Consider the following 24,688-nt stretch of genomic DNA (forward strand, 5'->3'; position numbering starts at 1 on the left):
AGGGTAGCTATATCCAGGAAATAAGAATTGATCTAAAAATCAACTAATAAAAACATCTACCTATTAAAGAAATACAACTATCTAAACATGTAACATAATGGGCTTCCCCTTTCAGTAGGCATAGGAAAGGGAGGAAACGGCAAAACCATGCCAGGCAACATCGTATTACAAGGAGGGAAGAAGAGAACGGGTTCCTATACCCCTACATTTCTCCCAGACCGATCATTCCAATCAGGCCCACAAAATGAGAGACAACTAATCAAGAGATTCTTGGAATTGCTGCCACTGTCTTGGAGCTCACAAAAGGAAACTGTATTGTGCCTGTGGAACTTTAAGCCAGAGGAGCAGAGGAGGCAATGGCCACTAGATGGCACCAAACTACAGCCAGGACCAAGAAAGATTCCGCTCTGTGCCCAACTCCCAGGACTTTTGCACAAGTTTGCTATAGTCATTTCACCAATATCGGTATCACACAGTCTCGCATTTTACATAACTGAAAAATCTGCGATCCCCTGATTGTCTTGTGTAGAGGTTGTATGTGCTGAAGCAGAATTATTGAAATACATGCCAATAATTCAAAATAAACATGATATAGCTAAGGCACTAAGGAAAGATAGCAATGTGAAGTATGAATAAGAAATCATTAAAAATAATGTTAAGTATTAGTAAAAAAAAATATTAAAATACAATAGAGATAAACAGTAGGATAAATACAGTTATAGGATAAATTGTTGATTTAGAAAATCAAACTGTGGTCCTTCCTAAAAGACAATAGAAAATAATAATATAAAACAACATGAAAGAAAAGGCAAGGAACAGAAGCAGTTATGTGAACATCCAGATAACAGGAGGCTCAGAAAAAAATGGTGAGAAGAGGGAGGTTGACAGACCAAAAAAAGCTTGAAAGGATAATTAAAATAAATGTTACAGAACTAAAAAAGAAAGATCAAAGATCTCAGAATGGAAAAATTAATAGGACAAATAAACCCATACCATGGCATATTATGGGTATGGTTAAATTTTAGAACAAAAAGATAAAATTTCTAAATCTTCCAGAAAGAAAGAAGATAAACTTTGGAAAATGAGTAAAAGAATATAATATATTTTTTAAGTATTGAAGAAAACAATTTTGACTCTAGAATTTTACATCAAGCCACACTGTCACACAAAGATGAGTACACAATAGAAATGCTTTAGGCATACAAGGCCACAGAAGGTTTGCCCATAAAGACCCAAACTAAACACATTCTAGAGAAAGTATTCAAATAAAAAACAAAATCAGGAAGATGATGCAAATATACAGGATAGAAGGGTTACCCAACATTTTACCTGTTATTGTCTTAAAAACTAACATAAACTAAACACAAGCTTAAAAAAAAGAAAAAAACAAAGAGCACCCACAACTGAGAACTAAAATGCTAAACAATATTAAGAAGAACAAGCAGCACAGAAATAATAAAGTGAATAAATCAACAAAATTCCAAACAAAAATGTAATAGGGAAGATTTTTAAAACGTTACTTTCCTGAAGACCAAACATATTAATAAATATTTATAAACCTTTCTCAAGATTCACCAAACTTAGGGATGAGATGGGGAGATGGGGGGGATGGGACAAAGCAGCAAAATACAGAATGAAAAGGGAGAATACAAAGTGATACATATTTTATTTATTTATTTATTTATTTATTTATTTATTTTTTTTGAGACAGAGTCTCGCTCTGTCGCCCAGGCTGGAGTGCAGTGGCACGGTCTTGGCTCACTGCAAGCTCCGCCTCCCGGGTTCACGCCATTCTCCTGCCTCGGCCTCCCAAATAGCTAGGACTACAGGTGCCCACCACCACGCCCAGCTAATTTTTTTGTATTTTTAGTAGAGGCGGGGTTTCACCATGTTAGCCAGGATGGTCTCGATCTCCTGACCTCATGATCCACCCACCTTGGCCTCCCAAAGATAAATATATATTTTTAAAGTGTTGTAAGTATAGGCTAATAATTTGGAAATCTACATAAAATGGAAGAAAGTCCCAGAAAATATATACATCAAAATTGTCAAAAGAAATAGAGACCTTGAATATGCCAAAAATTATGAAATAATTTGGAAGGTACTCAAAGCATCCCTCTCAAAAAGCCAATGGTCTACGTGATTTTTTACAAGTGGGATTTAAGAAACATTAATGACTTCCTAATGCAAGCTGTTATAGCAAATAGGAAGAGTGTAAAACTATACAGCTCATTATAGGAGGCTACTGGAATCTTGATTCCAAAATGAGACAATATACGAGAAGAAAATATGGGCCCACTTCACTTAGGAATTAGATGGGAAAAAACAAGCAACAACAACAAAAACCACCATCAAAAAAAAGAGCTAAATAAATCCAATACTTTATTAAAATACAATTGTCATGAAGTGTTCTGGAATGTAAACTTAGTTCAGCAGTATCTATGACTAGCTCAATTAATAGAGGGAAAGCATGTGATAACCATTACTACCTATTTATAATTTTTAAAAGTGTTAAATTATACAGTGAAGGGAACTTCCTTAAGTTGGTAAAGGTTATACAAGGATACTGTTCAATCTGAACTTAGCTGAAAACCTGCTAGTGGAACTCAGTGACAAAATTAATTCAAATAAATTTTCAGTTTTTAATTTTCCTCACCATCTCAGTTCTCATTACTCACTACCCAAAACTCGTGAACCATATATAACCAATTAATTGAGAATCTTGCTACACCAACTCCCCATCTGATTTCAGGCCCCAAGTAATCTTAGCAAAGAATACCTGCATGAACACTACACTTAATGGAGGGTCTGCATCTCCTTTAAAATCAGGAACAAAAGAGACTACTATCAACACGACTCAAACACAGTTGTAGAGGTCTTGGACAAAATTAAATTGAAAATAAAATAAAATTTGTAACGACTGGATAGAAAGAAAAAAACTATCATTATTTTTAGATGATATAAATATCCACCTAGGAAAAAAACAATAAAATGTTTAAAACTGCAGTACAAGGGAATTCAGTGAAGTTGCCAAATAAAAGAGTTCTTATCCTGGAGTCTATAAACCCTAATGGGTCCATAAATTTGGATGGAAAAATAATTACATGTTTACATTCAATGAAATACTTCTATTTACTTTCCCTAAACTTTATTACATTTTTACTTTCACTAATCTCTATTCAGCATTTCTATTATAAATACAGTCAAGAAACCACAGTTGTCAGCAATAAAAATCAAAGGTGTTTCCACATCACATTATATTTGTTGCAGACATCTTAAAAAAGCATTAATGTTCATTATTTCAAAATTATAATTAGTCAATATTATTTAATACATAAAAAACACATCTATGTATTTTCACATTATCCTGAAAAAGTTCCCATAGAATTGCTGCATTTCAAAGTGTCCAGGAAACTTCACTCCAAAAACCCATGATATGGGAGAAAGAGAAAATTATCCTTATTAGAACAAACTACCCAATATGATCAGCAAATTTCATTCTTAATGTGAAGTATTTGCTTCTTTTAAAGAATCTCTACTTTATGCCGGGTGCAGTGGCTCACGCCTGTAATCCCAGCACTTTGGGAGGCCGAGGCGGGTAGATCACGAGGTCAGGAGTTCGAGACCAACCTGGCCAATGCTGGTGAAACCCCATCTCTACTAAAAATACAAAAATTATCTGGGCATCATGACACACAACTGTAGTCCTAGCTACTCAGGAAGCTGGGGGAGGAGAACTGCTGGAACCCAGGAGGTGGAGGTGGCAGTGAGCTTAGATCACGCCACAGCACTCCAGCCTGGGCGACAGAGTGAGACTCTTTCTCAAAAAAAAAAAAAAAAAAAAAAAAAAATCTCTACTTTAAACGTCTCTTTTGAATGAAATCATTTGGTCCTAACTGATTCAGAAAGACAACAGGTACTGTTGTACCAGTGTAGCATCTATAAGTTAAGAGCACCCAAAACACTGAAAGAGTTAGGTGCTCTGTCCCAAGTGGTCAAAAGATAAAGAGAACCAACAAAGGAACTAAATTATTTAAACTGGCCAAAAAAGAGAGAGTAGGTAAAAATAGTCAACTTTATAAATCATTATATAAAGTAGGATAACAGGATGGTTCCTGTCTCTATACTAGCTCTTTTATACTATTTCAATTTTTTAAATGTACAGGTATAAGTAGGCTTAAAATGAAAATAGATTTCAATTAAAAATAAATTAAAATTTTCTGACCTTGAAATAAATGAATTAGGAAGTATTCAGAATTTTCATCTAGAAACCTTTCTAAATACATCTCCAGTTGTTGAAAAAGATCAGAGTGCAAAGATGAGATCAGCTCTCTTAAGCCTTGCCAGCTTTATTGGCCCATGACAATAACTTCAGTTGAATAAATCTTAGTATGAAAGTGCCAATTATAACTCTTCTAATTTCAGTGAAAGAATAAACCGGTCAATTACTTTCGACTTCCTTAGTTTATATTTCCTAATGCTATCTAGTATCAGTAAACATGAAAAAAATCATGTTTTTTAAATTATATCATTATAGTGACAGTTGATAGTTTTTAAATTTTTATTGGCATTGTCATAGGTCAAAAGCCCTATTTCTTTTATCTGTGATCCATCCTCTATATTAAAAGATTATATGAATTAATATTGTCAAGAATACAAAAATCTTTAAAAGAAGCAACAGAATAATTTATAAGTTTTGCTTTAATCAATGATTTATCTACATTTAAAAGTTTTCTCTTGTTTTCATAGACACTGATTATTTCATTGTCCTTTTAGTTGCTTTGATTATATGACTAACCTGAGGCAGCTGTTACTTCATTTTCTGAAATACTTTATCAGTCATTCTACCTAATCGGATAGAACTATCTGCACTGATCTTCTGCACTAATCTTCAGGAAAAAAAAATTCAATTTGACATTTAAAGATATTAATACAATTCTTAAATCTAGACAACTGACCCAATTAATCATATACATTTTCAAATGACAAGAAACCAAAAGCCACCATTGCAAATACTACTTACTGTTCTCAACAATTCCCATAATATTAGATCTAGACTATATTAAACCCAGTATCACTCCATAATGATATAATAAAATCAACATACACTAAAAACATCCTATCTGTGATTTCCAATGTTCAACTGTATTTTGTTAATCTCTATATCATTCATTAAGAGATAATGAAACCAACCATTGTTCTTAGGGCTCACATACACAGTAACATCCTTACTTTCACCAAGACTTATGGAATTTGCACTATTATTAAATATCTTAAAAATCTCTGGAAAACAATATTTAATCATCTTCACATCAGGATCTGTTTTCTTTTTTGTTTGAGAAATTTATTCTAAACCAGAGCATCTCAAATATTAATGTGCAAGCAAACTATAGCTTGTTAAAATGCAGATCCTATTTCAGTTGGTGGGTCTGGGGTAGAACCTGAGTTCCTGCATTTCTAACAAACTTTTAAGTAATGCCGGTATACTGCCCATCCTCAGATCACACTTTGAATAGTAAGGTTCGACACTACAATTAAGTTTAACTTTTACAGAAATGCAATATGGTTCTTCATATACAGAAATACTTAGTTGCCCTTCAGTTTTTTCTTACTGAGGGGAACTAATTCCAAATCTTCCATATTTCTGAACTTTAAAATGTCTATAATATACGAGTAAGTGTGGTGGAGCTGGGGCACATACTAAAAATATACGATTTTTTTTTCAAGTTTTAAAAATAGCCAGAATTTGCTGGAAATCTCATAATGCAACTGTAAGTAAGGAGTAATTATTAGCAGAAACTATAATTCTAACTTTAAAGTTTGAATACAGTAGTCTCCCTTATCCATAGTTTCACATTCCACAGTTTCAGTTACTTGTGATCAACCACAGTTGAAAAATATTAAACAGAAATTTCCAGAAATAAAAAATACATAAATTTTTCACTTTCATATCACTCTGAATACCAAGTATCATGATTAAATCTTGTGCCATCCTGCTCTATTCCACCCAGGTCATAAATCATTCCTTTGTCCAGCATATCCACAAATGTCGACACTACACACCCTTAGTCACTCAGTGGCTGGCTCAGTTATCAAATCAACTGTCAGGGTATTGCAGTGCTTATGTTGAAGTAACTCTTTCTTCAGTTAATAACATCCCCAATGTGCAAGAGTACTGATGCTGGTAATTCACATATGCCACAAATAAGCCATAACGTGCTTCCTTTAAGTAAAAAGGTAGCAGTTTTGGACTTAAGAAAAAAATGGTATACTGAGGTTGCTAAAATCAATGGTAAGAACGAATCTTCTATCTGTGTAATTGTGAAGAAGGAAAAAGAAATTTATGCTAGTTTTGCCATCACACCTCAAAACAGCAAAATTTGTGGCTACAGTGCATAATAAAGTGCTTAGATAAGATGGAAAAGGCATTGTATTTGTAGATGGAAGACAACAGAAATGTGTTCTGATTGAGGGCAGTTGGGTTTAGCACTATCTGTGGTTTCAGACATCTACTGGGATCCCTCATGGATAAGGGGAACTATTAGAATGAAAAATAATTTTTAATTAGTTAGATTTAGATTTTAGATTTATTCTATGGCATAATTTTATATTTATTCTATAGCATAAGTTGCATTTAATTTTACAAAAAAATTATTCAAAAAACATGCTTTTTACTATTAAAGGTATTTAACATTCAGATATTGTCAAATTTTGAAGGGATTAGCATAATATATTCAGGATTTTCCAATAATGGATATCACTAAAAATTATTTAGGACATCATTAAAAAATCTAGTTGGCAATAAAGAACCAGTTTCCCTAAATAATAACGAAAAATCAAATTAAGAAAAACTAATGCTATTATCAAATCTTTGTATATTTGAAATTGTTATATAATCTAAATTTAGAAAACTCACCAAATTTTTACTACTGAACTAGAAATCCAAGAACTACAATAAGAAATTTCACATAACCACAAAATACTCAACTTCTAGTTTATATAAGACATTAACAAATTTAGGTGGTCTGAAATTCTTAATTATGTAAATCATCAATGTTCAAAATATTCAGTATAAGATGCAGGGTGCTACTTAATCTTACTCCTACTAGTCATAAGTAGTGTAACATTGGTAAAGTTATCATCATTAAGTATTAATTTCCCATTTCTATAAAAACAAAGCAAATTACTTCCCTCATCTATGGTTTATTAAACAAATATTTTGTGCCTATTCTGGGGCAGGCACTATGCTGAAGTAAAGAATACCAAAGTACTCACCACAGCACTTACAATCTAAACCAGAAGAAAGACAATATACAGGTGGCTGAACAAGCAGATGAATAAATAAAATAAGTGCTATGAAGTCAGATAAAGTCAGATACGAGGGTTAAAAATGACTAGAACTGCTGTATTTGGTAGGGACAGATTAAAGAAGGCCTCCTTGGGGAAGTGACATTTGAGCTGAGATCTGTCTCTAAGACATTATGAAAAACCAATGTTCACGCCTATTTTGTTTTAAATGTATTTTCTAAATTTTATTATTAATAAGCTCTGTTTATTTATAATGATAAACAGGGATGATGTAAAATGCAAAAGGTAATTTCCAAGTAATTTTAGTTTTTTGTTGATTGCTAACAAAGTACAAAGTTGGATAATTTAAAGTGTGTGTCCTGGACATGTCCCATCCTCTAGTATAGTAATAAGAAAGAAAAAATTAGAAAACATTAGGCAGCTGATGGGGAGAAACTGGGGAGAGGGGAAGAATAAAGGGAAATTAAAGAGCTACATGATCCATAAAGTGGATATTCAACTCATGAATAAATCATAAGTAAGTGACACTTCTATTTTCATTTTATTCCTAAGAGGCAACAAGAGGTAGGTAGGGATGTGGGTGTGTGTGTGTCTGCAGGCACAAATGCATGCATATGTGCTGTGGCTTTTATACTTAACTTCACCTAACACTCCTCTTTTTACTTTCGAAGCATTTTATCTCAAAGTATAAGATTTAAAGGCAAATCTGTAACTATGAAACGGCTCTGGTTCAACGTTATCAGAAAAGGACCAGAACTTTAGGTTATATAAATTCTCATGTTTTTCTTCTGAGATGCATCAGTCACTTGGCACAATACTTCAGTCATTGCAGAACACCTGATTCCTCACTCCTTCCCTGATAAACTGTTCAATCAGAACTATGTTGAATGTATTTTTAAGTATCAAACTAAAAAGGTAGAATTCAAACTGAAAAAAAAATGGCAAGGAAAGAAACGCATTTTCTTTAAAGATATTTACATACTACTCAAAAGAGGTTGATATCAGTTACTACATATCCTCTTTTTATAGGTTTTTAATTAAGGGACTTTAAAATGGACTATATGAATTACCTTGGAATGTATTCTTCAGGGGAGGTAGAATTGTACCACTACCATCTTAGAGTTTTTAAGCTGGTCCTGAGAATTAAATTGAAGTGAGATCCACAGGAGAAAAGCTTACACATCTATTTAATACAAGTTTTATGTGCCACAAGAGCCTTCATAAAGAAATGAAGACCCAAAGACTCAATTAGAGTTGAATATTCATATAATGAGGTAGACAAAGAGTAGTAAATTATGAAAATATAACAAAGCAAAGGGACTTCAGTTAGGGTGGTTATTTTAGGCAGAGAAGTGACCAGGAAGATAAAGGTTGGTTTCATAAGGTTGTTTGTACAAATTCCCCTCAGCTTCAATTTCCCATCCTTGCTAAGAATGTTACTTTCCTTCATATCGGGAGGACCTCTTTCACATAGGAATTCCATCTTGTGCTTTTAAGGAGTAGGAGGAAGGTAAGAGTGATCTTCTTGAACCTACTGTTTTTCAAGTGACTTCACCTCAAAATAATCAATATGCCACTCAAAGTGGCGTATTTTGAGGTGGCATGCTCTTAAGTTCTTTAATTATTTCCTTACACTGTTATGCAAGCGTTCAATCTTTAGTTTTAGATGACATCCATGATCACAGCAACAGTACTGACACCATTATCTCTAAGGGTAACCCAAGAAAGGTATAACCTCAAGAACTTAGTGGGAAGAATATACACAATAACTAATGCCATCAAATTTGGTTATATTGGATACAGATGAAAAAATCTGTAAATTCCTCAATTTTTATTTATTTTTTCCACATGATCATAAAACTGGTGCACAAAAGAACAATCTTCATTCTCTAGACCTGGAGAAATCTGAAGGCAAGAAGATTAAAATATGGGTACTGGATCTCCTCCCTCACCCTCTATGCCCCTCTTCCACCACCTTCCTTCCAACAATATATCACCTAGACAGATTGTAAGGTCTTCCAAAGAAGAGAACCATGTATTATTTGTCTTGGAATCCATAGTACCTAAGACAGTGCCACCACAAAAAAGCTATTCAATAATAAAGAAAATTTGCTGAAATCTTTTAGACGAGGGTTTGTTTTCTCTTTTTTAATCAAGTTACTTTACTACTTGAAACACTGAATAAAACCTAGGTACTGCCCTAAAATACATTTCCCTCTACTACTGTTGCTACAAATATCAAGGTACAGGAATGTGGCTATATCCCCTCAATGGAGATTAGGTAGGTCCCAGCAGAACCAGAAAACAAAACAAAACAAAAAGCAGCCAAACCAAGTATCAAAGCTAAAAGGTCTTCTCAACAATTTTGAAACTAAGATTTCAAATATGTAGATTAAAGATACTAAAGAAGTAAACAATCTCCAGCATCTAAAAGCACCCAGGAGAGGTAAAAAGTACACATGCCAGGTATGTTGCCATATAAAAAATTAGATTATAAGAAAACCGTAGAAACTCTTAATGGAAAAGGAGTCTTAAATACTGAGAAACTCTCAGTGTCTGTGGATACCCTACAAAAAAGTGAAGGCGATCTCCCCTACAATCCATTCCACTCATAGGTTGAGAAAGGCTGTTTCCTCCATACATGTATCTAAATGAAATGCACCTAAATCATATATTTATGATGCAGTTAAATCACATATTTATTTATAACTATATGAATCATATTTTAATTATATTTATAATTAAATATAATTTATACATCATATATTTATTTATAAATACATAAATCACATATTTAGCAACAATTGTAATGAAAAGGAGGTGACTCTTAGGTTAATAAAAAAAAAAAACATGTTCTCAAGGAAATTTGTCTAGTAAAACCAAAGAAACAGAGCATCCATTAGCCATAAACTTTGAGGATAAGTGACATTTAAGATTTTCTTTCTCAGTATGATGTTTGTTTCAAGTACGTTAACAGTTATGTTAACAGTTTTAAATTATTATGTTGAAATAATTGAACAGCTGACAGTTTTAAATTATTTCTCCTTTTTACTATTATGAGAAGGGGGACAGTTATGTTAACAGTTTTAAATTATTATGTTGAAATAATTGAAGAGTTGACAGTTTTAAATTATTTCTCCTGAACCCTTTTTACTATTATGAGGAGGGGGGAAAACCACATACACATAAAGACTAACAGACTGCTGAAATTCTCCTCCAAAAGTCCATTTATTCATGGTAAACATTCATCTCTCCCCCTTTCCCCCTCTCCTTCTCCACATTCCCTACCTCCCTGTGTAAGCATGCAATTCACCTCCTTTCCCAATAATTACATCCAATAGAGCAGTGGAAATGATGAAGACAAATGATTTAGTAAATAAAGACAATGCAAAAAAAAAAAAGAAATAGCAACAGAAGAGAATATGATTAATGAAAATTAGGTACCTATACCTAATCAAATCACAGTAGAAATCATAATACATGATGGTCTCAATTCCTCCAGTGAAATAAACCATGAAAACTGGAGCTCCCTTCCTCTTCCAGTCTATTAAAGAAGGCCTATCTTCTCTATTAATCCAACAAATGTCCAAATCATATTTATGTGTGGCAGCTTCTTATCCTCCCCCAACTCTCAGCCCAACATCTGTTTGATTGTGATAAGAATGCTACAAGCTAGAGGAGGCACCAGAATATACACACACAGAACAAACCAGGTTAAGATAGCTGGTGAATTCCTGACACCCGGCAAAACCATAAGCAATCTCTTTATTCATTACAATACAGACTCAAACTCTGGAGAAAACAGTAGGAAGGTCCTACAAACACACATTATCAAGGATGGGCAGCTACCATGAAGAAAACTACCAATACAGTCAACTTCTTGAGAACATACTGGTGGATTAATACATGTTTATGAGTTGGGAAATACCTGCCAACAGATAATAAACTATAAAACAACACCTGAAGCAACATGCTCAGAAAGATATAAATGCAAGATTTCTCTATGTATCTATTTGTAACATCTTAATGTTCATTCATTGCTTTCATCTAGTTGGAAAAATCCTTCCAAGTATTTAGTGATAGAACTAGGGAGGAAGCGTTAAGAATTCTTGAAAGATCTCCAAAACAGGAATTTCTGGCTCCCTTATGTGACCTTCAGCAAATTAACCTCTCTGTGCTTCAGTTTCTTCATCTATAAAATGAGGCTATTACCAGGGCAACAGGCCCTAAAATGGGCCTTATAGGGTGGTAATGAAGACTAAATGAGCTAATACACTGGTACAATGTGTGGCACATAAAAAGCAACCAACGGCCGGGTGCAGTGGCTCACGCCTGTAATCCCAGCACTTTGGGAGGCCGAGATGGGAGGATCACGAGGTCATGAGATCGAGACCATCCTGGCTAACACGGTGAAACCCCATCTCTACTAAAAATACAAACAAATTAGCCGCGTGTTGTGGTGGGCACTTGTAGTCCCAGCTACTCAGGAGGCTGAGGCAGGAGAATGGCATGAACCCAGGAGGCGGAGCTTGCAGTGACCCGAGATCGCGCCACCGCACTCCAACCTGGGCGACAGCAAGACTCCATCTCCAAAAAAAATAAATAAATAAATAAAAATTAAAAAATAAAGAAAAGCAACCAACAAACGTTAGCTATAATTTTTTTTTTTTTTTGAGACAGGGTCTCACTCTGTTGCCCAGGCTGGATTGCAGTGGCACAATCTCGGCTCACTGTAGCCACCACCTTCCAGGTTCAAGTGATTCTTGTGCCTCAGCCTCCCAAGTAGCTGGGACTACAGGCATGTGCTACCATGCCTGGCTAAAATTTTATGTTTTTAGTAGAGACAGGTTTCACCATGTTGGCCAAGCTTATCTCAAACTCCTGGCCTCAAGTGATCAATCCACCTCGGTCTCCCAAAGTGCTGGGATTACAGGCATAAGCTACCACACCCGGCCATTAGCTACAATTTCTATAATAAATGATCCCGCATTTTCCCAATAAAACGGTTTCTCATTTAACTTAGGATAAAATCAATATTATTGTCATCAGAAACCTATTATATATATGACTAGTGTCCTAATTGTAAAGGTCACATCATGAATACAGCTACAGCAAAATGAATTATTTATGTGTGTATGTATATAAAAATACTCTATGCAGAGTATGGTATGAAAAACATAACCATAGTTAATAACTATCAGCGAACCTGCCCCGATATTCACGTAGGTTCTTTTCTATTTTCCCTAAGTGTCGGCCAGCTTGAGAAATAAAGGGACAGAGTACAAAAGAGATAAATTTTAAAGCTGGGCATCCGGGGGAGACATCACATGTCGGTAGGTTCCGTGATGCCCACAAGCCACAAAAACCGGCAAGTTTTTATTAGGGAGTTTCAAAAGGGGAGGGAGTGCGCAAATAGGTGTGGGTCACAGACATCAAGTACTTTACAAGGTAAAAGAATATCACAAGGCAAGTGGAGGCAGGGCGAGATCACAGGACCATAGGACCGAGGCGGGATAGCATTAGGAGATATACCTAATGCTAAACGACGAGTTAATGGGTGCAGCACACCAGCATGGCACATGTATACATATGTAACTAACCTGCACATTGTGCACATGTACCCTAAAACTTAAAGTATAATAATAATAAAAATAATAATAATAATAAAAGGAAAATGAACAAAAAAGTCTCTCTGGCCTCAATGCCACTGAGGCCTATTACTGGAAAGTATACATAAAAGTTTAAAGAACAAAACAAATGCAGAAAAAAAATGCAATATTTATTATGAATAACTCTTGGATAAATGAGGGAGAAACTATTCAGTTACTATGCAGCTACCATAAAAATTCTTTTTATCAAAATTTGTACAATATTTCCAAAGCTATGCTCAGAGGCAAATGTACAGCCCTAAATGCTTTTATTATTCATTAACAAAAATAAATGTCACTAATCTAAGATTTTCACTTCTATGAAATAACACAAGCCTAAGAGCATCAGAGAAAGAAAAAATACCAAAATTAGTTGATTTGATATATGCAGAAAGGACATTTGAAAAATAAGTTGAAGAGATGATTCTGTGGAATAATAAAGAGTATAATGAATTAAATAGACACATAGCTTGCTGTTTTCATTAAGAACAATGTAGCAAACCCATGGATATATAGCATTAGAATGAAAAGCTATATTTCAACAGATACAGTGATCATTAAAAAGTAGTAAAAACTATTATGTAAAAATCTAGGCTAATGAATACAAGAACCTTGATGAAAATGTTACTTTTACAGGAATTTCTTAAATGATAAAAAAGTGATTCAGGAAATGTGAGAAAACAAAAATGTCTAATATCTATAAGAAAGAATGAAAAATAATTAAAGACTTATAAAAAAAGAAATTAAAATTGCTAATGAAGTTTCGGGCATCATTGTCATTGATAACATCTTATCAGGAGACAGGGTTTTTGAGATCAACTGGTCTGACCAAAATTTATTAGGTGTGAATTTCCTCTTCCTAATAAGCCTGGGCGTGCTACGGGAGACTGGAGTCTATCTCACCTCTGCAGTCTCGACCATAAGAGACGACCACGCCCGGGGGGGCCAGTTTAGAGACCTACCCCCAGGTGCGCATTCTCTTTCTCAGGGATGTTCCATGCTGAGAAAAAGAATTCAGTGATATTTCTCCCATTTGCTTTTGAAAGAAGAGAAATATGGCTCTGTTCCACCCAGCTCACCAGCGGTGAGAGTTTAAGGTTATCTCTCTTGTTTCCTGAACGTTGCTGTTATCCTGTTCTTTTTTCAAGGTGCCCAAATTTCATATTACTCAAACACACATGCTGTACAATTTGTGCAGTTAATGCAATTATTACAGGGTCCTGAGGTGATATACATCCTCCTCAGCTGAAAGGATTAAGAGATTAAAGACAGGCATAGGAAATCACAAGGGTATTGACTGGGGAAGTGATAAGTGTCCATGAAATCTTTACAATTTATGTTTAGAGATTGTAGTAAAGACAGGCATAAGTATAAAAGTATTAATTTGGGGAACTAATAAATGTCCATGAAATCTTCACAATCCACGTTCTTCTGCCATGGCTTCAGCTGGTCCCTCCATTTGGGGTCCCTGACTTCCCGCAACAAATAACATTAAGGATTTTGTATGTTACAACTTTTACATTTATTACAATATTTAAAAACAGAACCCCAAGTGTAAGTACAATTATTACTATTATTATCCTAATTATACATATAAGGAAACTGGAGAGCAGAGAGGTTAACTACTCAGGTCCACAAAAAGGAAGTGACCAAGACAGAATTAAACCCCAAGTCTTTGTAATCCTCCAAAACAGAGTTCCTTACCAGAATGAATGCTCATCCACAAATAACTAACTCAGAATTCAATTTATACACACATATTTAATCTCACTTAATGACCTATAAGATTACTTATAATGAATGCTGAATAAAATGCAAATGTGCAACTTATAAAGTAGAGGATAAGGACACTTCTTTCACCCTAAGACTGCAATGAGAGTCTGGTTGACTAAGGCACTGCCTACGACACAAGACTCCAACAGAAAAGTTGGTCAAAGAGCTAGTTAAGATTTTTTGTTTTGTTTATTGTTTTGGAGGGGTTTTTAACAAAATATTTAAAGTCAAACCAGTGTATGAAATTACTAAAGCAATTTAAAAAAATGCCACAATTGTCACCTTCTAAGTGGCCTGGTCTATGCTAAGCATGCTATGACTTACCCTGAATATGTTTCCATAGAATGTAAAATAGTAACCATGACTCCCTTCTGCCTACTTCTATTGCCACTAAATAGGTCAAATGTTTTACTATCTTTGCTATCAGACAGAAGTGATGGTGAACAGGAACTAATATCAATGAAGTGCTACCTGTGTCAAGAACTATATAAATAGTTCTTGAATAGTTGGGATATAGAAATATATCTTCCCAACATCACATGAGCAACATATTATTCAAATTTTGCAGATAGGGAAATGCAGACAAAGAGAGACTTAAGTCTCTTGACTAAATCTTCCACTAAGCAATGGACAGAGCCTGAATTTGAACTCTAACTCTAGAGCTTGCTCAAGCATGGATTCCAGAAGCAGCCTCAGCTGTGCTTAATGAACAACACATAACCTAACTTTCTTTGCTGGCTCTAATCTCCTAATTCCAACCCATTTACTATCACAGAATCAATGTGGATGAGGAATGTTGGCAGGAGAGAATTTGTACATTGCATATAGATTTACCCTTCAACATAACCAGGAGAAAACAATTTGAAGAGACATTATGCATAAAATTTTTAACACTGCATTAAAAGTTGAAAACAATAAAAAGAAAGAAAGTAAATGTAATCCAATATTAAATTATAACTGGAGGAAAAATAACATGTCTAACTCCAAGTACGAAACAAAATGCTTAATTAATTAGCTGGATTTATTTTAATGTTTCTTAACTTTTTAATCCTTCATATTTCACTCCTTCACTGTACTACAGAACTTTAAGAAATTGACATAGCAGTTTATTTTAAATCCTTTAATTGCTTTGTTAGAATATGAAAACATTACTTTCAGAGAAACTATCAAATGACCTTGATGATCTACACAACATTCATTATAGACTGGTAAACATTTGTGAAAATCCTTGCTGTGATGATTGATTGCATTTTTCCTTGCTTCAGTTACTGCAAACTAAATTGCCTGTCAATAAAGTGATGACTTCTGTCAACATAGTTTCTTAATCCTTATTCAGTCCTTTTAGCAATGACAACCTTAGAATAATATATTGTAAGTCTTTATGGATCAATAATGCTGCTCAGTATAAAACACTGCAATCTACCACCAGGATTTTTATCCTTCTATTTATAATGATCTCTGACAAGCTACCTAGCAGTAAAATTTCTTACTAAGGAGAAAAAAAGACGTCTAACAAACAAGTCAAATACAACACTATAAACAGCATATGCCAATCCAAACAAGTTAAGAATTTTGAGTGAAGCTCAATATTAGCAAAATGCTTTTATCCTAAAGTAGTTAATGACTGAGATGTCATTTGAAGACCACTCAAGAAAAAAAATTATTATTCAAGCCCTTAGACATTTTGAAATGATGTATGGGTGGTTATTTATGTAAAAAGCCTTCTCTACAATGTCAGAAACAGAAAATTTCCATTTAAAAACCATAAAACATAAGCCAATGCATACCCTGGCTAATTTTTTCTCTAGGCAATTAGAGGACTTTTTTTTTTCATTTAATCTATATTTAGATTGTACTTCAGACATCTTTATGTGAGAAGTAGATTATAATTGCCTTTAAACACTACAATTTAGATGTTTCCATTTAAACCAAAAATTACTTAAAATAAATGCCATTCTATCAATGAAAACAGAATCATGACACTGCTTTACAACTGACATTGCCTCTTTTATATAGAGTTATGTTAACTATGTCTTCTCTAAATCTGCATTTTTATCATTTGTTAAACTCAACTAACCTGATATATTTGATAGCACTGAACTGGAGGGGAAATTTTTCAACAAGCTAGCAGTTCACCATATTTCTCCTCCCAAACTCGTGAACCAAGAGAAAATAATCTGATTTTATTGTTATTATTTTTTAAAATGAGAGTGTATTGGATTTATGAAAGAATTAACTTCTTATCAACTTATTAAACTTTCTGGGGGAAAAAATGTAACCTCCATGCATTCCTTTTCAAGAAACTACTGAAAAAATTAAAATTGAAGAGTAAAACAAGTAAAAGGAAAATATAGAACCAAGAAAACCAGAAATCTAATACACAAAAGAGACAAAAGAAACATAAATTGAAGCAGGAGGGTTGAAGGTTTCAGGAGGAATGTCTGTAAAAACAAACAAACAAAAAGCCAAACACTAATTTATTTGGTCATTCTGAAAAGAGCTTAGAGTTCTCTCAGTCTGAAGCAAGAAGCAGTAATTGGTACAAAGAAAATTAAGCAAATGGGGGTTTAAGTCATTAACTTCCCCTAAAAAACAAAGGAATACCTCAGAGATATTGCAGGTTCAGTTCCAGACCACCACAATAAAGTGAATAAAAGCAAGTCACATGAATTTTTGGTTTCCAGTGCATATAAAAGGTGTGTTTATACTACACTGTATTCTATTAAGTGTGAAATACTATCATGTCTTAAAAAATGTATATACCTTAACTAAAAATACTTTTCTTTCAAGATAGTTGACTAGAAGCATTTCAAGCATGCCTCATTTGCTTAGAAGACCCAAATCATGTGTAGACAATCACACTGTGAATACATGCCTAAGAGGGAACACGAGTTCAACAGAAAAGCAAAAGGAAACACTGCAAACTAGGAAGGAAAAGGAGAAAAGGCAGCCTGCTTGGCTGGGACCAGCCAGGAATTGGGAGTTATCCCCAGTATGGGAGAGGGTAAGTGAGGGTCCTATTGAGGTCCACTTTCCCACAAGGGAATTATACAATCCGGGCCACCAGAGAACGCCCTGACCCTCCAACCCCCAAATCTAACTTACAGAGTGGCTAGAAGACTGTGAAAAGGAACTACTTCAGGGAAAGAACACATCCTGGGTTCCACACCCTTTCTGAAACCTAAGAAACAGTAAGATGCTATTCTCAATCTTAGCTCTTAAAAGGCTGTGTGCAGTCCTAGGAACCCGCTGCACCAGTCCTAGGTGTTAGAGAAACTCGGGCTGCTGCATGCAGAACAGAGGCACAAGTCAGGGGTGGACTCCTGCAAACAGGACTGAGAAGAAAAGTGTAACATGGGCTGCAGCCCCCAGTGCTAGAAGCAGGCACTGTCTCTGGGACTTAGGCAGGAGGAGAGTTGCCACAGAGGCTTGATCTTGAGCTTGGCAGGGGCTCCAATGGCCCAGGACTGAGTTGCAGGCCAGGCACAAACTGCCAGGTCTGATAGAACAGCCAGGTCAGCTGCAACAGCAGGGAAAATGGAATGAGCCCCACCAGAACTGGGGTATAAGTGGGACTCAAGGCCTTGGCCACTAGGTTTGACCCCACCCTCCCTGTGGCTGGACCTCAATGCTGCAGTAGCCACCACTCACCCAAGCATTCTGCCAGGGGCCTGAGAACTGCATGGCCTCCCCATCACAGCTGGTGCATGCACTTGCCACTGGGGGTCCTGAGTGCAAGCTTGACCAGTCCAGATGTGCCTGGCTTTGCCCAACCTCCTTTGACAAGACAGGGTAAGAGATCCAGGGTCCTAAAGGTTACAAACCCAATCCACCACCTGGTACATTGAAGCACTCCTCTTGAGAGACTAAGGTTGGACATAAACACCCTGCTGCTTCTGGCTCTTACCTGTAAGCACCACCTGCTGGCCTGGAAGCCAGCCTGCACATTTCAACCACTGCCAACACAAGCACACAGCATTTGGAACCCAGAAAAGCATCTCAACACTGTTACTGCCATCAACAATGCCATGTCAGCCAACTCAGAGACTCGTGAGCTGCTTCACCTGGCCAGTAAACTGCTATTACAACCAACATTCAAGAAAGACACCTAGAGGCCCAAGAATCAGCATGCCTGGAATCACTAACACAGTTGCCAGTGTTCAAAGCCCTGGGAACAAAAGGCATGCTTAGTCCACCACCATCACCACTAAAACTTGAAGACCAGGCCACCCAGCATCCCAGACCCCAGCACAACTTCATCACAGCCTCCAAAAAACAACAGCACCCTAACAAACTGAGGAAACCACGGATACCAGTAATGCTATTTAGCTAAAATAATAATATTCACAATCACACACAGACTTCAGTGCTGCATGCACCCAGAAACAAAACCAAAGGGCCCTACTCAACCAACATCATAGTCACATCTTCAGGAAAAAAAAAAAAAGTAATATGACACCCCTAAAGAAGCACAATAATTCTCTACCAATAGATCTTAACCAAAAAGAAATTCTCAAAACCCAGATAAAGAATGTTAAGTATTTATTTTAAAGAACCTCAACAAGATGCAAGAGGAATCTGAAAACAAATACAAAGAACACAGAAAAATAATTAAGAATATTAATGAAAAATTTACCAACGAGATAAATATCTTTGGGGGAAAAAAGCAAATTCTGGACTAAGGAATTCAATGAAGGAAATACAAAATATATTCAAAAAATTTTAAAAAAAGACTAGTCCAAACAGAAGAAAGAATTTTAGAACTTGAAGACAACTCTTTTGAAATAATCCAGTCAAATAAAAACAAAGAAAAAAATTAAAAAAGAATAATCTAAGCCTTCAAGACATTTGGGACAATGTGAAGCAACTGAACTTATGAATTATTGGAATACCTAAGGAAAAAGAGAGATCAAAAAGTTTAGAAAACCTATTTAATGAAGTAATAATTGAAAACTTCCCAAGTTTAGCATGAGATTTAGACAACCAGATACAGGAGGCTCAGAGATCCCCAGGCAAATACTATGCAAAAATGACTTTGCCATAGAACATTATATCAGGCTATCTAAAGTCAAAGTAAAAACAGCAAATTCTGAAAACAGAAAGAAAAAAAGCACCTATTCACCTATAAAGGAAATTACATCAGATTAACAGCTGACTTCTCAGCAGAAACCTTACAGACCAGAAGAAAATGAGATGATATATTGAATGTGCTAAAGAAAAACATTGCCAGCAAGATTAATCTTCATAAAGGAAGACAAAATAAAGTCTTTCCCAAACAAGCAAATATTGAGGGGAGTCATTGCTATTAGACTGGTTTTACAAGAAATGCTCAAGGGAGTCCTAAACTTGGAAGCAAAAGGACAACATTAACCATCATAAAAACACATGACAGTATAAAACTCATTGGCAAAGTAATCACACAAAGGAGAAAGGGAAAGAAATGTCACCAAAACAGAATACTACCAAACTACAATAACAAATACAGAAAAAAAAACAAAGAATTTAGAAAACAATTACAACATGACAGGACTAAAACCTCACATATTAGTGTTTACCTTGAATGTAAATAGATTAAATGCTCCAATTAAAAGCTATACATTGGCAGAATGAATTAAAAAAAAAACATGATCCAACTATATGCTGATCACAAGAAACTGACCTTACCTATAAAGACACATAAAAACTAAAAATAAAGGGGTAAAAAGAGATATTCCACACAAACGTAAATCAAAAGCAAGCAGTAGTAGCTATACTCATATTAGATAAAACAGACATTAAGTTAAAAACAGTAAAAAGAGAAAGAGAGAGGGGGGATATAATAATAAAGGAATCAATTCAGTGCAAGGATATAACAATTCTAAATATATATATGCTCCCAACAGTGGAGCACCCAGAGTCATAAAACAAATATTACTAGACCTAAAGAGAGAGACAGATAGCAATACAATAATAGTGGAGGAATTCAACACCCTACTCACAGTATTAAAACAGATAATCAGTACAAAAAAATGATAAAGGCTGGACTTAAACTGGACTTTAGACCAAATGGACCTAACAGAATTTACATAACATTCTGCCCAACTGCAGAATATACATTCTTTTCATCAACACACTGAACATTCTCCTAGATAGACCATATGTTAAGCCACAAAACAAGTCTTGGCACATTTTTAAAAATCAAAATAATATCAAGTATCTTCTCAGGCCACAGTAGAATAAAACTAGAAAATCAATACCAAAGGTCAAATCAATACCAAGAGGGACTCTGGAAATTTTACAAATACATGGAAATTACACAACATACTCCTGAATGAACACTGGGTCAATGAAGAAATTAAGATGGAAATTAAAATTTTTTGAAATAAATGAAAACAGAAATACAATATAACAAAACCTGTGGGATACAGGAAAAGTAGTACTGAGAGGGAGGTTTATTGCATTAAATGCCTAGATCAAAAAAGAAGAAAGATTACAAATTGCCAGTATAACAATACATCTCCAGAAACCATAAAAGCAAGAATAAAATAAACCCCAAATTAGCAGAAGAAACAAAATAACAACGATCAGAGCAGAACTAAATGTAACAGAGACTTTAAAAAATACAAAGGATCAACAAAACAAAAAGTTGGTTTTTCAAAAAGACAAACAAAATTGATAAATAGCTACACAGACTATTCAAAGAAGAAAGAAGACACAACATCAGAAATGAAAAAGGAGAAATTACAACTTATAACCATAGAAATACAAAAGATCATCATACACTTATATGCTCACAAACTAGAAAACCCAGAGGAAATGGATAAATGCTTGGAAACATATAGCCTCCCAAGGTTGCATCAGGAAAAAATAGAAAACCTGAACAAACTAATAATGAGTCAGTAATAAAAAGACTGAGTCAGTAATATTAATAATAAAAAACTCCCCAAAAAAGAAAGACTCAGGACCAGATGGATTCACAGCCAAATTATCCCAAAGGTACAAAGAACTAACTACAATCCTCCTAAAACTGTTTCAAAAAATTGAGGAGGATGGAATTCTCCCAAACTCACTATATGAATCCAGTATCATCCTGATACCAAAAATGAAAGACACAACATAACAAGAAAACTACTGACTAATATCTTTGTTTAACACAGACACAAAAATCCTCAACATACTAGCAAACCAAATCCAACTGAACATCCAAAAAATATACCATGATCAAGTGGGTTGAATGTATCAGGTATGCAAGGATGGTTCAACATTTGCAAATCAATAAATGTGATGTATCATATAAACAGGATCAAGGACAAAAACCATATGATCATCTCATTAGATGCAGAAAAAGCATTTGATAAAATTAAGCATCCCTTCATGATAAAAACCCTAACAAAACAGACAGAGAAGAAACACACCTCAAAGTAATAAAGGCTATATACGACAAAACCACAGCTAACATAATACTAAATGATGAGTATTTAAAGCATTTCCTCTAATAACTGGAACAAAGCAAGGATACCCACTTTACTATTCCTATTTAACACAGTACTGAAAGTCTTAGCTAGAGCAATCTGGCAAAAGAAATAAGTAAAAGGATCCAAACTGGAAAAGAAGTCAAATTATCCCTGTTTGCTAAGATATAATCTTATATCTAAAAAAATTTAAAGACTCTATTAAAAAAAACTCTTACATAACTAAATTAACTGAAGTTGCAGGATACAAAATCAACATACAAAAACCAGTAGTGCTTCTATATATCAACAATGATCTAACTGAAAAAGAAATCAAGTTGGCAATCCCTTTTATAATAGCAACAAAAAAAAAAAACCTAGGAACATTTAACTTAGGAAGTGAAAAATCTCTGCAAGGAAAATTACAAAACTCTAATGAAAGAAACTGTATTATAGATGACAAAAATGAGAAAACAGCCCATGCTCACAGATCAAATGAATTAATATCATTAAATGGCCCACACTGCCTAAAACAATCTATAGTTTCAATGCAATCCCTATCAAATTACCAATGTCATTTTTTACACAAGTACAAAAAAAATCCTAAAAATTGTATGGAACCAAAAAAGAACTCAAATAGCCAAAGCAATCTTGAACAAAAAGCACAAAGCTAGAGTCATCACATTAGCTGATATCAAATTATATTATAATTTTGTTATAAAAGAACAAAGCTCACATCACGTAAGCTGATAACAAATTACAGTAACCAAAACAGCATGGTACTGGTATAAAAACAGACACATAGATCAATGGAACAGAATACAGAACCCAGAAATAAAGCCACATATTTATATTCAACTGATCTTTGACACAGTTGACAAGAACAAACACTGGCAAAAAGACAAATAGTGCTGGAAAAACTGGACTGCCATATGAAGGATAAAACTGGACCCCAATCTCTCACCATATACAAAAATACACTCAAGATGGATTAAAGACTTAAATATAGGAACCAAAGTTATAAAAATACTAGAAGAAAACCTAGGGAAAACTCTTCTGGACATTGATCTAGGCAAAGAGTTTAGATTAAGACCTCAAAAGCAGAGGCAACAAAAACAAAAAGAGATGAATGTGACTTAATTAAACTAAAAGGGTTCTGCATGGCAAAAGGGGTAATAAACACATTGAAGAAACAACCTGCAGAATGGGAGAAAATATTTGCAAACTATTCATCCAACAGGGGACTAATATACAGAATATACAAAGAACTCAAACAGCTCACCAACAACCAAAGACTACAAATAACCCCATTTAAAAGATAGCAAAAGAAATGAATATATATTTTTCAAAAGAAGAAATAAAAATGGCCAACAGGTATATGAAACAATACTCCACATCGCTAATCATCAGAGAAATGCAAAGCAAAACTGCGATGAGATGTCATCTTACTCCAGGCAAAATAGTTATTATCAAAAAGACAAAAAATAATAGATGTTGGCAAGGATGTAGAGAAAAGGGAACATTAAACACTGTAGTGGGCATGTAAATTAGTACAACCTCTAGGGAAACAGTATGGAGATTTCTCATAGAATTAAAGATAGATTTACCATTTGATCCAGCAATTCTGCTACTGGGCATCTACGCAAAGGAAAAGAAATCAAAAAAGATATCTGCATTCATAAGTTTACTGCATCAAAAAGATATCTGCATTCATATGTTTACTGCATTATTCACAATAGCAAAAAATATTCAATCAACCTAAGTGTCCATCAACAGATAAAGGAAATGTGGTATATACACATAACAAAATACTACTCAGTCACAAAAAAGAATAAAATGTCTTTTGCAGCAACATGGATGGAACTGGACGTCATTATCCTAAGTAAAACAAGCCAGGCACAGAAAGACAAATGTCACATATTCGTATTCCTAAGTGTATGCTAAAAAATGAGCTCTCATGGATGTAGAGTGTGGAACAATAGATAAGGAAGACTTGGAAAAGTGAGTGAGTGGGAGGGGGGAAGATGATGAGAAATTAGTTAATAGGTACAATGTAGGTTATTAGGGTGATGGATACCCTTAAAGCCCTGACTTTACTACTGTCCAACCTATGCGTGTAACAAAATTGCACATGTACCCCATAAATTTACACAAATGTTTTAGTCCTAAAAAATGCAAATGATCATCTGAGCCTTCAGTAAGCTGTAATCTTTTTGCTGGCATAAAGTTTTGCCTCAATGTTGATGGCTACTGATTGATCAGGGTAGTGGCTGCTGAAGCTTGGGGTGGCTGTGGTTAATTTCTTAAAATAAGACAACAGTGTTTGATGTATCAATGAACTCTTCATGAAAGATTTCTCTGTAGCATGTGATGCTGTTTGATCATATTTTACCCACAGCAAAACTTCTTTCTACTACAGAGTAAAAATTGAAGTAAATCCTCTCAAATCCTGCCACTGCTTTATGAACTCAATTTACATAATATTCTAAATCCTTTGTTGTCATTTCAACAATATTCACAGCATCTTCA

At 34.7% G+C, this 24,688-nt stretch overlaps 1 protein-coding gene across 8 annotated transcripts in view, besides 1 other annotated feature; it reads right to left on the reverse strand.

The window, feature by feature from the left end:
* The window catches only part of FBXL17 (F-box and leucine rich repeat protein 17), a 523,064-nt gene that overhangs the window by 401,356 nt on the left and 97,020 nt on the right, over nt 1–24,688 (reverse strand). The window lies entirely within an intron of this gene.
* Nucleotides 10,818–11,112: an enhancer, noted in NCBI's record as "tiled region #5089; K562 Activating DNase matched - State 8:EnhW". NCBI's record gives its function as "activates a minimal TATA promoter and a strong SV40 promoter by Sharpr-MPRA in K562 cells {active_cell/tissue: K562}" and the evidence as "EXISTENCE:reporter gene assay evidence [ECO:0000049][PMID:27701403]".

Source organism: Homo sapiens, chromosome 5, assembly GCF_000001405.40.
Source record: "Homo sapiens chromosome 5, GRCh38.p14 Primary Assembly".
Lineage (NCBI taxonomy): Eukaryota > Metazoa > Chordata > Mammalia > Primates > Hominidae > Homo > Homo sapiens.